This window comes from Homo sapiens, chromosome 6 (assembly GCF_000001405.40).
Source record: "Homo sapiens chromosome 6, GRCh38.p14 Primary Assembly".
Lineage (NCBI taxonomy): Eukaryota > Metazoa > Chordata > Mammalia > Primates > Hominidae > Homo > Homo sapiens.
Window position 1 is genome coordinate 42939300 of NC_000006.12, and position 16994 is coordinate 42956293.

Genomic DNA, 16994 nt, shown 5'->3' on the forward strand with positions numbered 1-16994 from the left:
AGCCTCTTGTTCTTTCCTGCCCCTCGCCTTCCAGCCCGTGGGGCTGAGGAGGGGAAGGCTAAAACCCACCCACTCTCGGGAGCAGCAAGTGCTGGGAAGGCCCAGGGTTGTCTTGGGGTGAGGGGAGGCATGGGCATAGGATGAGGCCCAGGGCAGTGCACTGACCTTACGCTGCTCCCTCGTGTCCTGGACACCTGGCTGCCGTTCCCTCCCTCCCTCTCTCCTGCTGCTCCTCTTCCCAAGGCCTCCCATTTGTTGTGTAAAATGCAGTGTTTACCTGGCCAGCTCCCGCCCCTGTTCCTACTTCCACCTGGCCTTGACTGTTGGTCCTGAACCTTGTTTTCTGATGACCACACTTGATCACTCTGAGGTTCCTAGCTGTTGTACCTGGAGTGCAGTTGGGAGGACACCCGGTTCCCAACACCATCTGGTCACACCATGTTCCTCAGGGCCAAGGGAGGAGCAGAGAGGCTGGCCTCTAGGGAGAAGGGGTGGGGAAGCTCAGGCACCTCCCAGTTTGTCCTGAAGGCAGGGATCGGGGCAATTGGTACAGTAGTGATGACAATTGTATGTATTCAAATTGTATGCTTTAACTTTTACTATTACCACACTCTTGTGAGGTGTGCTGTTAACCTCATTGTGTAGAGGAGAAAACAGGCTAGAGTCAAGTGATATGCTTGGAGTCAGGTGACCTTGGAGTCAAGGTCCTGCTGTTAAGGAGTGGTATAGCTGGGACGCAGACACTGGCGTTCAGATTACAAATCCATGGTACTTCCACTCTCCACAGCTGCCAGGGCCTCTTCCCCCAACCCCTGGCACTGACAGTGTGAGTTGTATCGAACTGGTTTAGTTTCTTGGCCTTAACCTGTCACCACCACCAAGATTCTTTTTGTTTTGTTTTGTTTTGTTTTGTTTTTTTGAGGCGGAATCTCACTCTGTTGCCCAGGCTGGAGTGCAGTGGTGTGATCTTGGCTCACTGCATCGTCTGCCTCCCGGGTTCAAGCAATTCTCTGCCTTAGCCTCCCGAGTAGCTGGGATTACAGGCACCTGCCACCACGCCCAGCTAATTTTTTTGTATTTGTAGTAGAGACGGGGTTTCACCATCTTGGCCAGGATAGTTTTGAACTCCTGACCTCATGATCCATCTGCCTCGGCTTCCCAAAGTGTTGGGATTACAGGTGGGAGCCACTGCGCCTGGCCTAACCACCACCAAGATTCCTAAAAGGCGAATAGGAAGCAGCTGTGGCTTATTGGAAGGAAAGAATGGCAGCAAGTCCTGGGGGAGCTGTGCCCGCACCAGATCTCCCGTGAGCACCCACACTGCAACTCTACCTCACACTTCCAGGCTAGGCCCAGTGGGTAGGAGGGATACACTGCTGAAGCCTCCCTGCGTCCATTGCAGCGGCTCTGGGGGCTGAACTGGGAGTGAGGGGCCCCCTCATAGCCTGGTCCCAGCCTCTCCCCCTCTACCAGGTTAGGGCAGCCAAGGCCATAGAGAGTGGAACAGAATGGAATCTGTCTCTCCTTAAGCTGTTGAGGATGACGCCAGGTCCTGGGAAAATGATACTGTCTTGGTCCAGCCTCCACCTCTGCATCTCCAGGACTGATGTTCCCCCTGTTAAAGGAGCTGGTGAGCAGTGAGATTACAGTCTAGATGCAGGTCTTGTCCTGGACTTTGTTCTGAGCATAGAAAATGGCTGGGGGTGAGGTGGAGGGGCTGGTACCCAGGGCAGGGATGTGTTTCCTGCCCCCTGAACTGTCTAGGATTTGGTGGCCACCCTCTGATTCCCCCATTCTATCACTAACAGCACTTCAAGGCCTGGCTTACTTCTGTCCCCACAGCTTCATTGATTTTTTTTTTGTTTTTTGTTTTGTTTTGAGTCTTTTTTTTTTTTTTTTTGAGACAGAGTCTCACTCTGTTGCCCAGGCTGGAGTGCAGTGTCACAATCTCAGCTCACTGCAACCTCCGCCTCCTGGGTTCAAGTGATTCTCTGCTTCAGCCTCCCAAGTAGCTGGGATTACAGGCAACCGCCACCACACCCAGCTAATTTTTGTATTTTCAGTAGAGACGGGGTTTCCCCATGTTGGCCAGGCTGTTCTCGAACTCCTGACCTCAAGTGATCCACCTGCCTTGGCCTCCCAAAGTGCTGGGATTACAGGCAGGAACTACCATGCCTAACCCTTTCCCCTACCTTTCTTTTTTGGAACAGGATCTCCCTTTGTCACCCAGGCTGGAGTGCAGTGGCGTGATCATGACTCACTGCAGGCCTCAACCTCTCAGGCTCAAGTGATCCTCCTGAATAGTTGGGACCATAGGTATGCACCACTGTACCTGGCTAATTTAAACATCTTATTTTTTGTATACCAGGTGTGGAGGCTCACACCTGTAATCCTAGCACTTTGGGAGACCAAGGCTGGAGGATCGCTTGAACCCAGGAGTTCGAGACTAGCCTAGGCAACATAGTGAGACCATGTGTCTAAAAAAAGAAAAAATTATTTAAATACTTTTTTATTTGTTTGCAAGAGTCTCACTCTGTCACCCAGGCTGGAGTGCACTGGCACAATCTTGTCTCACTGCAACCTCTTCCTCCTGGGTTCAAGTGATTATCCTGCTTCAGCCTCCCGAGTAGCTGGGATTACAGCCACACACAACCACGTCTGGCTAATTTTTGTATTTTTAATAGAGACGGGGTTTCACCATGATGGCCAGGCTGGTCTCGAACTCCTCACCTCAGATGATTCACCCACCTCGGCCTCTCAGAGTGCTAGGATTATAGGTATGAGCCACTGTACCCGGCCAATAATTTTTTTAATTTTTAATTTATTTTTTGGGCCTGGGGTGGTTTCAGCCTCTTATTTGGGAGGCTGAGGCAGGACAATTGCTTGAAACCAAGAGGCGGAGGTTGCAGTGAGCCGAGATTGCACCACTGCACTCCAGCCTGGGTGACAGAGTGAGACTCCATCCCCCGCAACCAAAAAAAAAAAAAAATTTGTAGCAACAGGGTCTCCACATGTTGGCCAGGCTGGTCTCAAACTCCTGGACTCAAGCAATCCTCCCATCTCGGCCTCCCAAAGTGCTGGGATTACACGTGTGAGCCACCATGCCTGGCCTCATTGATTTTTAAAGTAGGACAAGGTAAAGATCTAACCCCCAAGCCAGGTGTGGTGGCTCACGGCTGTAATCCCGGCACTTTGGGAGGCTGAGATGGGCGGTTCACCTGAGGTCAGCCTGGGCGACAGAGGGAGACTCCATCTCAAAAAAAAATAAAAAAAACTCCTTACTGAGGTGTTGGCCCAGTGGCCCAATCCCAGGCCCTGGCCCAGTCTTGAGGGCAGGCAGTGTTGTCACTGCTTTGCTCTTTGACCTGTGGTTACTGCTTCCCAAGGGCCAGGCTTGTTGCATACTCACTAGCTTTCACGCAGCCCACCCAGCAGCAGCTTACTCTGGCCCTGCCTAGAAAGGCAGAATGCAGGAAACCTGGCTTTCCGGGTTTTTTTCTTTCCCTTTTTTTTTTTTTTTGGTAGAGACGGGGTTTTGCTGTGTTGCCCAGGCTGGTCTCACACTTCTGGGCTCCAGCAATCCCCCCACCTCGGCCTCCCAAAGTTTTGGAATTACAGGTGTGTGGCTTAGCGCCCAGCCCAGGTTTTTCTTTTCTTCTCCCCACCACACAAGCCTTTCCGAACTTGGGCGTTGCCTCCCACTTTCCTATACCCCTTCCCATCCATGGCTTGTTTTTGTTTTGATTCAGAACAGGCAGAAATTAATCTACCTGATATACAGAAATTCATATAGATGAATTTCTACCTGTTCTGAATCAAAACACAAGCCATGTGCAGTGCATGCCTGTAGTCCCAGCTACTTGGGAGGTGGCTTGAGAGGATCACTTGAGCCCAGGAGTTCCAGTCCAGCCTGAGCAACACAGTGAGACCCTCATCTCTAAAAAGCGAATAAAAACAAAAAAAACACCAAAACAACCAGGATGTCTCCCATTTGCACTCCACTTAAGTGTGGAGACTTAGGCTGATCACATCACTGCACTCCAGCCTGAGTAACAGACTGAGACCCTGTCTCAAAAAACAAAATGAGACAAAAAACCTGCTCGTAATAAAGTGTGAAATTATAAAAAGAACCTCTGTTTTTAAAAGTTTTCTATTTATATAAATTTATAGGGCACAAGTATAATCAGGTAAGGGTACTGCCTGCACTCAAGTTAACCTGATTTCCGTCTTCCTGTCAGAAGCCTCATTAGAACAAGATTCTAAACTTAACTCACCTGGACATGAGAGTCACCTAGAATACTTGTTAAACATACAGATGTCTGGGTTTGCCTCAGACTTGCTGGGTTGAGACCTGGGAGTCTGCATGCTTAGCAAACATCTCTCACGGTCCTTAAGAGGAGGCAGCTAGAACTCACTTCACCAAGATAAACCCAGGGTGTTGTCCTAAGATGGGGCAGGACTTCAGTGAATTTACAGTGGGTCAATGTCTTGTCCTCAGAAACACAAACAGCAGAATGGCTCCATCTCTGTTGAAGACTTCCATCAACTAGAACCACGAGGGCTGATGGACAGACCACAAGGCCAGTTTGTTCCAGTTCAATGATTAAAAGAACCACAGATGACCAGGCACGGTGGCTCACGCCTGTAATCCCAGCACTTTGGGAGCCCGAGGTGGGTGGATCACGAGATCAGGAGTTTGAGACCAGCCTGGCCAATATGGTGAAACCCCGTCTCTACTAAAGATACAAAAAATTAGCCAGGCGTGGTGGCTCACGCCTGTAATCCCAGCTATTCAGGAGGCTGAGGCAGAAGAATGACTCGAACCCAGGAGGCAGAGGTTGCAGTGAGCCGAGATCATGCCATTGCACTCCAGCCTGGGCAACAGGCAAGACTCTGTCTGAAACCAAACAACAACAAAACATGCTCAGACAGTAAAATCTCACGAGTGCTACATCAGGGCTTCCATATTCATTTGAAAGGGCAGGTCCTAGGAGGCAGGCTCCTCTCCTTACTTTGAGACTGCTGGGTGGCATTTCCATAGATCTTTATGCAAGTTAGGAAAAGGTGCTCTTCACACCTTTAACTTCCATCTGTCAGAAAATTGTTTTGCCGGGTGTGGGGTCTCACACCTGTAATCCCATCTCTTTGGGAGGCTGAGGCGGGTGGATCACCTGAGGTCAGGAGTTTGAGACCAGCCTGGCCAACTTGGTGAAACCCCGTCTCTACTAAAATACAAAAATTAGCCTGGTGTGGTGGCATGCGCCTGTAATCCCAGCTACTTGGGAGGCTGAGGCAGGAGAATTGCTTGAACCTCCTGCCACTGCACTCCAGCCTGGGTGACAGAATGAGACTCCGTCTCCAAAAAAAAAAAAAAAGAAAATTGTTTTAATTACATTTGTTAGGAAAAGACACTTCACTGAATGCCTGCCAGAAAATTATCATCTTAAATCTACAAACCCATGGGGTTTGTCCTGTGAATGGGAGCCCCACACTCCCCTCTAGTGTGGAGACTTATGCTGTCCAGATGTTGACCGCAGCCCTGCATCACTATAGTTCCCAAATATGAACAAAATTCCCCTTATTTTTTGATCTTGAAAGAAAAGCCTATTTTTTATGACAGATATATATGGGTCCATGCTAAGTCACTTGTTTCAATGAGATGGACCCTACTGCCAGCTCTGGTAATAGCAATATGTATTAGCACCAACTGCCCCTAAGTGGAAAAGATTGCCCAAAAAAGACATTAAAAAGCCATATTGGCTGGGCATGGTGGCTCACGCCTGTAATCCCAGCACTTTGGGAGGCTGAGGTGGGTGGATCACGAGGTCGGGAGATCCAGATCATCCTGGCTAACACGGTGAAACTCCGTCTCTACTAAAAATACAAAAAAAAAAAAAATTAGCCGGGCGTGGTGGCGGGCGCCTGTAGTCCCAGCTGCTCCGGAGGCTGAGGCAGGAGAAAGGCGTGAACCCGGGAGGCGGACCTTGCGGTGAGCCGAGATCGCACTACTGACTCCAGCCTGGGCGACAGAGCGAGACTCCGTCTCAAAAAAAAAAAAAGCTACAGAAAAAATGTTACTAAGAAGGTCATAAGAAAAATATATTTACTGTTCGTTAAGTGGAAGTGGATCATCTTAAGGTCTTCATCCTTCTCATCTTGGGAGAAGCTGATTTTGAAGTCTCGGGGTGGCAGAGACAGGAGAAAATCCACATATATGTGGGCCCACATAGTTCAGCTCCATGTTGTGTGTTTGAGGGTCAATGGCAATCTGGCTTTTTTTTTTTTTTTTTTGAGACGGAGTCTTGCTCTGTCTCCCAGGCTGGAGTGCAGTGGCACGTTCTCGGCTTACTGCAAGCTCCGCCTCCTTGGGTTCACACCATTCTCCTGCCTCAGCCTCCCGAGTAGCTGGGACTACAGGCGCCTGCCACCACGCCCGCTAATTTTTTGTATTTTTAGTAGAGACAGGGTTTCACCATGTTAGCCAGGATGGTCTCGATCTCCTGACCTCGTGATCCGCCCACCTCAGCTTCCCAAAGTGCTGGGATTACAGGCGTGAGCCACTGCGCCTGGCCTCTATAGCTTTAATGTAAGATTACACTATATAATACGCATACAAGCTATGTGTTATTGGCCTGGCATGGTAGCTCACCCCTGTAATCCCAGCACTTTGGGAAGCCGAGGCGGACAGATCACCTGAGGTCAGGAGTTCAAGACTAGCCTGGCCAACATGGTGAAACCCCGTCTCTACTAAAAATACAAAAATTAGCCTATGTGCTGGTGCACGCCTGTAATCCCAGCTACTCAGGAGGCTGAGGCAGAAGAATCGCTTGAACCCGAGAGGCAGAGGCTGCAGTAAGGCGAGATCACACCACTGCACTTCAGCCTGGGCAACAGAGTGAGACTTGGTCTGTCTCTCAAAAAAAAGATATGTATTATCGACTTTATGTTATAGGTAAGGGTTCTGGTCCATAGTAAGTTATTAGTAATCGAGTTTTTGGGGAGTCAGAAGTTATACATGGGGGCCAGACACAGTGGGTCACGCCTGTAGTCCCAGCATTTTGAAAGGCTGAGGCAGGCAGATCGCTTGAACTCAGGAGTTTGAGACCAGCCTGGGCAACATGGCGAAACCCCATCTCTACAAAAAAATAGAAAAATTAGCCAGGCACGGTGGTGCATTCCTGTGGTCTCAGCTACTTGAGAGGCTGAGATGGGAGGATCACTTGAGCACAGGAGGCGGAGGTTTCCGTGAGCTGAGATCATGCCATTGCACCCTAGCCTGGTTAACAGAACAAGACCCTGTCTCAAAAAAAAAAAAAAAACAAAAAACAAAAAGTTACACATGGATTTTCAACTGTGTGGGGAGTCAGGGCCTCTAACCCCCAAGTTGTTCAAGGGTAACCTGGACTCACCAACCCAGTCTTGGTGTTTTAGATGTAATGGCGTGTGCTACGTCACCTGTTTCAATAAGCAATGTTTAGCCTGTTATCAGGGCCTGAAATAGCATATCATATTTATGTTGAATAATAATAGCTCAGTGAACAGATCTGTGTGTACTGAAGAGATCTTACTGGAGGTTAGCACTCCTTAAAACCGCCTTTTTTTTTTTTTCTTTTGAGATGGAGTCTCACTCTGTCACTTAGGCTGGAGTGTAGTAGTACGATCTAGGCTCTCTGCAACCTCCGCCTCCCAAGTAGCTGAGACCTACAGGCACGCACCACCATGCCTGGCTAATTTTTGTATTTTTTAGTAGAGATGGGGTTTCACCATATTGGCCAGGCTGGTCTCGAACTCCTGACTTCGTGATCCACCCGCCTCAGCCTCCCAAAGTGCTGGGATTACAGGCGTGAGCCACTGTGCCTGGCTAAAACTGCTTTTAACAGCCAGGAACAGTAGCTCACACCTGTATTCCCAGCAGTTTGGGACCAGCCTGGGCAGCATAGTGAGACCTCATCTCTACTAAAAAAAAAAAAAATAGCTATGTGTGATCCCAGCTACTCAGGAGGCTGAGGTGGGAGGATCACTTGAGCCTGGGAGGTCGAGGCTGCAGTGAGCATCTGTGATCACACCACTGCACTCCAGCCTGTTTTTTGAGACCCTGTCTCAAAAAAAAAAGAAAGAAAACCCTGCTTTTTTTTTTTATGAGACAGAGTCTCGCTCCATCGCCCAGGCTGGAGTGCAGTGGTGCGATCTTGGCTCACTGCAAGCTCCGCCTCCTGGGTTCACGCCATTCTCCTGCCACAGCCTCCTGAGTAGCTGGGACTACAGGCACCTGCCACCACGCCCAGCTAATTTTTTGTATTTTTAGTAGAGACGGAGTTTCACCATGTTAGCCAGGATGGTCTCGATCTCCTGACCTCGTGATCCGTCCGCCTTGGCCTCCCAAAGTGCTGGGATTACAGACGTGAGCCACCGCGCCCGGCCAAAACCCTGCTTTTAATAAAGTGTGAAATGGTAAAAATAACCTCTCTTTTTTTTTAAGTTTTCTATTTGTATAAATGTATAGGGCAAAAGTATCGTTTTGTTACATGCATAGAGTGTGTAGTGGTGAATTCAGGGCTTTTCGGGAGAACCTCTCTTCTTACACATCAGTGGAGTACTCACTGATAACACTACGCTTAATAGTAATGTTGCCATTATTAGTGTTACGACCCACTGATATAGAGACCTATTTGACAACTAACAGGACTTTCTTAAAAGTCCAAAAAAGGATCTGCTTTGATAATTCTGCTAGGAGATCCAAGTGGGTGGGTGGATCTGCTAGCACCACTCCTCAAGTGTTTCAATGTTCAGTCTGGGGTAGATCCAATTAGCAGAGAAGAATTTTTATGCAATGGCTTGGACTAGAGTTTGGAATTTGGCAGTCATCACTGGAAAAATGAATTTCTGCCTGTTCTGAATCAAAACAAAACAAGCCATGTGCAGTACACACCTGTAGTCCCAGCTACTTGGGAAGTGACTTGAGAGGATCACTTGAGCCCAGGAGTTCCAGTCCAGCCTGAGCAACACAGTGAGACCCTCATCTCTAAAAAGCAAATAAAAATAAAAAACACCAAAACAACCAGGATGTCTCCCATTCGCAGTTATTGTATCTACATAATTCACAATTGCAGGATTTTAATGTGTCCTCAAATAGGACTTGGAGTTTGTCCAGTTACAGCCACATTCCCAAGATGAAGTCTTTTTGCAAACATGTCACACATTTAGGAATGAAGAATTTAGTCTTTTCAGCCAATTCCAAATAATGTGTCCCACATTTAAAATATCACCTGTTCTTCTTTTCTTTTCTTTTTTCTTTTTTTGAGATGGAGTCTCACTCTGTTGCCCAGGGAAGTGCAGTGGCGCGATCTTGGCTCACTGCAACCTCCACCTTCCAGGTTCAAGTGATTCTCCTGCCTCAGCTTCCTGAGTAGCTGATTACAGGTGTGTGCCACCACACCCGGCTAATTTTTGTATTTTCAGTAGAGACAGGATTTCACCATGTTGGCCAGGCTGGACCTATTCTTATTTTCAGTGAAGTCAAACAGTAAATTGATTTATATTCTGTGATCTTTTCCATGGCCCAGGGCATCTAAAATTTACAGAGAGATGGCCAGGCATGGTGGTCATGCCTGTAATCCCAGTACTTTGGGAAACCGAGGCAGGTGGATTGCTTGAGCCCAGGAGTTTGAGACCAGCCTGGATAACAAAGTGAGACTGTCTCTACAAAAATAAAATAAAATTTATAGAGACGAATTAAGTAAAATAAAAAGCAGTTTTAATATATTTTAGTGGGCAGGACATGGACAATTTGTAGATGAAGGATTGCAATTATTTGGTATATTTTGGCAATAATTAAAGAAGATATAATAGATATAATTAGATACAATATTCTACCTAATGAAATATCAACGAATAATATGTAAAGAAGAGTTCAAACACGCCGGGTGAGGTGGTTTATGCCTGTAATCCCAGCACTTTGGGAGGCTGAGGCAAGAGGATCACTTGAGCCCAGGAGTTGGAGACAAGCTTGAGTGACACAGACATACCAAAAAAAAAAAATTAGCCAGGCATGGTGGCGCACCCCCATAATGGCAACTACTCAAGAGGCTGAGGTGGGAAGATCGCTTGAGCCTGCAAGTTCGAGGCTGCAGTGAGCTATGATCACACCACTGTGTTCCAGCCTAGGCGACAAAGCAAGACCCTGTTTTAAAAAAAAAAAAATTAAATTTTAAAAAGGAGTGACCCTACTACCTCCTTCAGCATTCCTTTCCCACACAAAGCAAATGGAAAAGAAAGTAATAATAAAGGGAAAAATAATAAACTGCCATAAGCCACTTAACATTTCAAATATTGTATATATAGCCAATCTATTTGTAGACAGTGACAAAGAAATTATTCCCGTATCATCTTGGTTATTATTCCAATCACTCTTCATTCTCCAGACTTTTTTTCTTTTTCTTTTTCTTTTTCTTTTTTTTTTTTTATTTGAGGCAGAGTCTCCCTCAGTCATCCAGGCTGGAGTACAGTGGCACAATCTCGGCTCACTGCAGCCTCTGCCTCCTGGGTTCAAGCGATTCTCCTGCCTCAGCCTCCCAAGTAGTTGGGATTACAGGCGCCTGCCACCACGCCCAGCTAATTTTTGTCTTTTCAATAGAGACAGGGTTTCACCATGTTGGCCAGGCTGGTCTCCAACTCCTGACCTCAAGTGATCTGCCCACCTCGGCCCCCAAAAGTGCTGGGATTACAGGTCTCAGCCACCGCTCCTGACCAAGCATGCATTTTTAAGGCCGGGCAAGGTGGCTCAAGCCTGTAATCCTAGCACTTTGGGAAGCGAGGCAGGCGGATCACGAGGTCAGGAGTTCGAGACCAGCCTGGCCAACATGGTGAAACGCCATCTCTACTGAAAATACAAAAAAATTAGCTGGGTGTGTTGGCGCATGCCTGTAATCCCAGCTACTTAGGAGGCTGAGGCAGGAGAATCACTTGACGGAATCTTACTCTGTCACCCAGGCTGCAGTGCAGTGGCTTGATCTCAGCTCACTGCAACCTCTGCCGCCTCGGTTCAAGTGATTCTTGTGCCACACCCTCCCAAGTAGCTGGGACTACAGCCGCGTGCCACCACGCCCGGCTAATTTTTTTGTATTTTTAGTAGAGATAGGGCTTTGCCATGTTGGCCAGGGTGGTCTGGAACTCTTGACCTCAAGTGATCTGCCCCCCTCGGCCTCCCAAAGTGCTGGGATTACAGGTATGAGCCACCATGCCCAGACAAGATAATTAACATGAGATTAAAAAAAAAAAAAATCTAAGGGTAGTGGAGTAAATTTTCCCCAGAATATTCTGTAAAATAAAGAGTGGATTTACTTATAATTCTCCAATTCAGGCTTTTTTTTTTTTTTTTTAGACAAAGTCTCACTCTGTCACCTAGGCTGGAGTGCGGTGGCACAATCTCAGCTCACTGCAACCTCTGCTTCCCAGGTTCAAGCAAATCTCCCTGCCTTAGCCTTCTGAGTAGCTAGGATTACAGGTGCCTGCTACCACGCCCAGCTAATTTTTGTATTTTTTAGTAGAGATGATGTTTCACCATGTTGGCCAGGCTGGTCTCAAACTCCTGACCTCAGGTGATCCGTCCGCCTCAGCCTCCCAAAATGCTGGGATTACAGGCATAAGCCACCATGCCCGGCCCCAATCCAGGCTTTCTAAACCTGTTGCCAAAGATGCATCTGTAGGATCAGATACAAAAAAATTAGCTGGGTGTGGTGGTGCATGCCTGTAATCCCAGCTACTTGGGAGGCTGAGGCAGGAGAATCGCCTGAACCCAGGAGGTGGAGTTTGCAGTGAGCCAAGATCGTGCCATTGCACTCCAGCCTGGGCAACAAGAGCGAAACTCCATCTCAAAAAAAAATAAAGAATAGCAAGGACACCAAGCACCCCCATTCCCGGCCCTGGACTTTGTCCATGTGTTAATGGTGGAGGGTGTCCAGGTTCTTGGCATCTTGAACGAACAATTGGACAAAATGCACAAACAAGGAAGGAATGAAGGGTTTTATTGAAAATGAGCCGGGCGCGGTGGCTCACGCCTGTAATCCCAGCACTTTGGGAGGCTGAGGCGGGCCGATCACAAGATCAGGAGATTGAGACCATCCTGGCTAACACGGTGAAACCCCATCTCTACTAAAAATACAAAAAAATTAGCCAGGCGTGGTGGTGGGCACCTGTAGTCCCAGCTACTTGGGAGACTGAGGCAGAATGGTGTGAACCCAGGAGGTGGAGGTTGCAGTGAGCCAAGATTGCGCCACTGCACTCCAGCCTGGGCGACAGAGCGAGACTCCATCCCAAAAAAAAAAAAAAAAAAAAAGACAATGAAAGTACACTCCACAGTGTGGGAGCGAGAATGAGCATAGGGGCTCAAAGGCCCTGTTAAAAATGTTTGTGAGTTTAAATACCCTCTACTTGGGGAATGCCCTATGTAAATGAAGAAGATGAAGTAAAGTTACAATTGCAAAGTTATTAATGATGTATGCCCTAAGGAGAGGATATTTCCTGTTATAGATGAAGTGTGAATTGGCCTTATGTTACCTGCCTCCAGACCCTATTTTCCTGCCTCATCTGCCCCCTGAGATGTGATCCCCATAAATCTTTATGGGAGGCAGAGGGACAGATGGTCTTTTTTCTGTAACTGCTTCATGCTGGCTTGGGGGATGGTCCCCACCTATTAGGGATCATGGAACTCTCACCCTGCTCTGTCTAGTGGAGGCAGGGTAGCTTTTTGATGGCCAGGGGTGATGTCTTCACCTGGAACTGGCTGGAAGCTTTGTTGCATGATCAGCTGAAGCTTGATGGTCTCTAGGCAAGAGGAAATGAATTTGGTTAAAACATTTAATGGGAACTGCAGGGGGTGGATACCTATGCTGTTAGAAATGTTTGTTATATTGACCAGGCGCAGTGGCTTACGTCTGTAATCCCAGCACTTTGGGAGGCCGAGGCAGGCAGATCACGAGGTCAGGAGTTCAGGATCAGCCTGGCCAACATAGTGAAACCCTGTCTCTACTAAATACAAAAAAATTAGCCGGGCGGGGTGGTGCATGCCTGTAATCCTAGCTACTCAGGAGGCTGAGGCAGGAATGTTGCTTGAACCTGGGAGGTGGAGGTTGCAATAAGCTGAGATTGAGCCACTGCACTCCAGTCTGGGGGCGAGGGAGTGAGACTCCGTCTCAGAAAAAAAAAAAAAGAAAGGTTTGTCATAGAGATTTGCAGGAGAAAAAAAACTTGGTCTGTTTTAGAATCTATGTGTTTCCTTAAAGTCCTAGCATGAGCGACTCCATTTTGGTTTGGTTTGTTGAGGCCTAGTGCATGAGCCTAGTCCAAAACAATGGCCTTCCATAATTTTGTTTAAAAAATTACCCTTTTTGGTTAGGCTGTCATTTAAGTGAGAGTGTGACCAAACCTTAGGGACTTAGCGCCACTCTCAGTTACCATCATTTTGGGTTTCCTATCTCAGCACATCATTTATAGCTTATAGTGTCCTTATGGTTGCACATTTTTTTAGCTCCTGTTATTCCAGTTGAAGAGAGACCATTTGACATTCTAGAGATGGCTGCACGCAAGCATTTAAAACCTTTGAGAGAATAGAGCGCACCAGGGAGACTATTATTATGACTATCGGGAGGATGATACCAAGAGTTTGGAGTATGCTCCTTACCCAGGTTCCCCATAAACCAAACCACCTAAAATCACATAGATCAAAGAATGAACTAGATAAAGAGTTTACTCATGGCCGGGCGTGGTGGCTCATGTCTGTAATCCCAGCACTTTGGGAGGCCGAGATGGGCAGATCACCTGAGGTCGGGAGTTCAAGACCAGCCTGACCAACATGGTGAAACCCCGTCTCTACTAAAAACACAAAATTAGCCAGGCATGGTGGTGCATGCCTGTAGTCCCAGCTACTCGGGAGGCTGAGGCAGGAGAATCGCTTGAACCCGGGAGGCAGAGGTTGCGGTGAGCCGAGATCGTGCCATTGCACTCCAGCCTGGGCAACAAGAGCAAAACTCCGTCTCAAAAAAAAAAAAAAGTTTACTCATTTGACTAAGCAGTCTCTTTGTTAATCCCCTACCACTATATTTCTATAATCTTCATGTGATGTATTTCTCCGTAGGCCACAAGTGCCAGCAGCTGCACAGATACTTCTCTGTTTAGCCAATTCTATCTTAACTTTCACAAGAGAATTTAAAGTCTATTGTATAACTGTAGCCTTTACAGTAGAATTTGCTATAGAACCCATCATGAGGGATACTTTTTTTTTTTTGAGACGAAGTTTCGCTTTTGTTGCCCAGGCTAGAGTGCAATGGCACCATCTTGGCTCACTGCAACCTCTGCCTCCCGGGTTCAAGCGATTCTCATGCCTCAGCCTCCCGAGTAGCTGGGATTACAGGTGCACCACCATGCCCAGCTAATTTTTATGTATATATATATATATATTTTTTTAGTAGAGATGGGGTTTCACCACATTGGCTAGACTGGTCTCAACCTCCTGACTTCAGGTGATCCACCTGCCTCGGCCTCCCAAAGTGCTGGGATTACAGGCATAAGCCACCGTGCCTGGCCCCATTAAAGTTTTTTACCTGCACTGGGCCTTCATTTTTTATCTATTAAAGTATAAAGTTATCCATATATAAGGTTGGCTGCAAACTCCTTCACAAATAAAAGTACATCCCATTAGTGCACATAACAGATGCCTTTTCCACTTTTATTGTTCATAGAGGCATAAGCAAGAACAAATATTGAAAGATAAGAGTTTTATGACAGTAGAAGTCTTAATCTGTGAATTTGGGAAAAGCTTATTTACATCAAAGATGCCATCCTCGGTCAGGCGCAGTGGCTCACGCCTGTGATCCCAGCACTTTGGGAGGCTGAGGCGGGCGGATCACCTGAGATCAGGAGTTAGAAAGCAGCTTGTCCAACATGGTGAAACCCCGTCTCTACTAAAAATATAAAAATTAGCCTGATGTGGTGGCGAGCACCTGTATACTTGGGAGGCTGAGGTAGGAGAATCGCTATTATAAAAAGTAGAGGTTCCTCTTCAAAGACTTTCCTCCCCATCTAATTAGGGATAAATAGTAACTTCTCTTAGAAGCAAAATTTATTCAAAGATCTGTGGTGACATTCTTAAATATCTGCAAGTCATAATAAAGAAATCAATGTCCTTTATGTTCTTAGCTCCCACAATGTAGCCTAAATATTTGCCCTGGCATGCTTATACTGGTCCAAACAAACATTAGGTCATAGCCTGTTCCTCATCCTTATTTGAAGGTGTTTTTACCTTTCTCAGCATTCCACAAGTTACTTCCCCTTCCTTTGTTCTCCTCTGCCTTTGCCTCTTTTAAAAGTTCTAAGTTGCTAGCCAATCGGGACAAATACAAAATGTGAAGTCCCATTCCAGCCAATGGAAACCGGACACAGCAGTAGGGTGGACGCGTCAGGTTATAAATGACCCTGTCTCCTTTGTTCAGTGTACTCTCATGGCAAAACTGCTGACGAGGGTACCCTTTCTGCAGAAAGTAAAAATGGCCTTCCTGAGGAAATTGAATTTATGTTCAAGTGCTATTTCTTTACGGCACTGGGGAACAAGCATTTCTTTTTTAATTTTTTTTATATTTAATATTAAACATTTAATATATTAAGTGAATACATTCAAATCTGCAAACAATACATCTAGGTTGTAGAAGAGTTAAAAAAATCCCTCCACTCAGTTTTTGCCAAAACACCACCTGTAAGCACTGAGAAGCCTACTGATGCACGCATTATCCTTTGGGCCAATAGAAACAAACGTTTTAATAAAATGCTTTCCCAGTGGTCAAATTGTCTTCCTGAGTAAAGCTAAACTTGTTGTAGTGAGAACAGGTAGTGTTTATTTCTAGCTTCTTCTGGGTTCCAGGTTACCTAAGACCCAAGGGTAATGACAATGGGCAGCTCCACTTTATTAAAAGCCAACATTTAGCCCAGACATTTTATTCTCCAAAAATTAGCAAGCATAGCTTTACATTCAAGTTGGGTATAATGACTTTATTTTCCCAGTAATTCCCTAAATAAAACATTATTACAAAAAATGACTCTTCCCAGTGCAAAATCTTAACATTTTGCTTTTATGAGCAAAAGCCTGTATTTTACATATTTTTTTTTTGAGACGGAGTCTCGCTGTCGCCCAGGTTGGGGTGCAGCGGCGCGATCTCGGCTCACCGCAGGCTCCGTCCCCCAGGGTTCACACCATTCTCCTGCCTCAGCCTCCCAAGCAGCTGGGACCACAGGCGCCCGCCACCACGCCCGGCTAATTTTTTGTATTCTCAGTAAAGACGGGGTTTCACCGTGTTAGCCAGGATGGTCTCGATCTCCCGACCTCGTGATCCGCCCACCTCGGCCTCCCAAAGTGCTGGGATTACAGGCGTGAGCCACCGCGCCCGGCCTACGTATTTCTTATATTGATTTTTACATTTTCAGGTTCTCAAAAGGACTTACTCATTTTACCTGTAACACTTGGACGTCTGAATGTAACATGCACTTGAAAAAAAAAATTCTATCACCTTGGATAGGATAGTGATGGAGGAGAATGTTGACATTGACTATATACCCTCACCTAGTATTCTGTGTAAAATCATGTTTCCCTAAAGAGGACTCTGATTTGTCCAGTTGCATCCTTGCAACTTGGCACAGGTTGGCAGGTAAAAATGACCTTTCTGTAGAAGTAGAAGCCTATTCTTCACATGTAAGTTTTGATTACTACTATTTTATCACATCTTAAATATATAAATCTCAGGCTGGGCGTGGTGGTGCACGCCTGCAATCCCAGCACTTTGGGAGGCCGAGGCAGGCAGATCACCTGAGGTCGGGAGTTTGAGACCAGCCTGCCCATGAAGAAACCACACCTCTACTAAAAATACAAAACCAGCCAGGCATGGTGGCACATGCCTGTAATCCCAGCCACTTGGGAGGCTGAGGCAGGAGAACCGCTTGAACCCAGGAGG

At 46.8% G+C, this 16994-nt stretch overlaps 1 protein-coding gene and 1 long non-coding RNA gene across 7 annotated transcripts in view; both read left to right on the forward strand.

Moving 5' to 3' along the window:
• Positions 1-16994, forward strand: part of CNPY3-GNMT (CNPY3-GNMT readthrough) — a 34401-nt gene that overhangs the window by 9820 nt on the left and 7587 nt on the right. The window lies entirely within an intron of this gene.
• Positions 1194-9061, forward strand: LINC02976 (long intergenic non-protein coding RNA 2976). Its single transcript, NR_186646.1, has 5 exons — positions 1194-1307; positions 1474-1630; positions 2211-2316; positions 4499-4671; positions 8309-9061. It is a non-coding gene; the product is annotated as a long intergenic non-protein coding RNA 2976 (long non-coding RNA).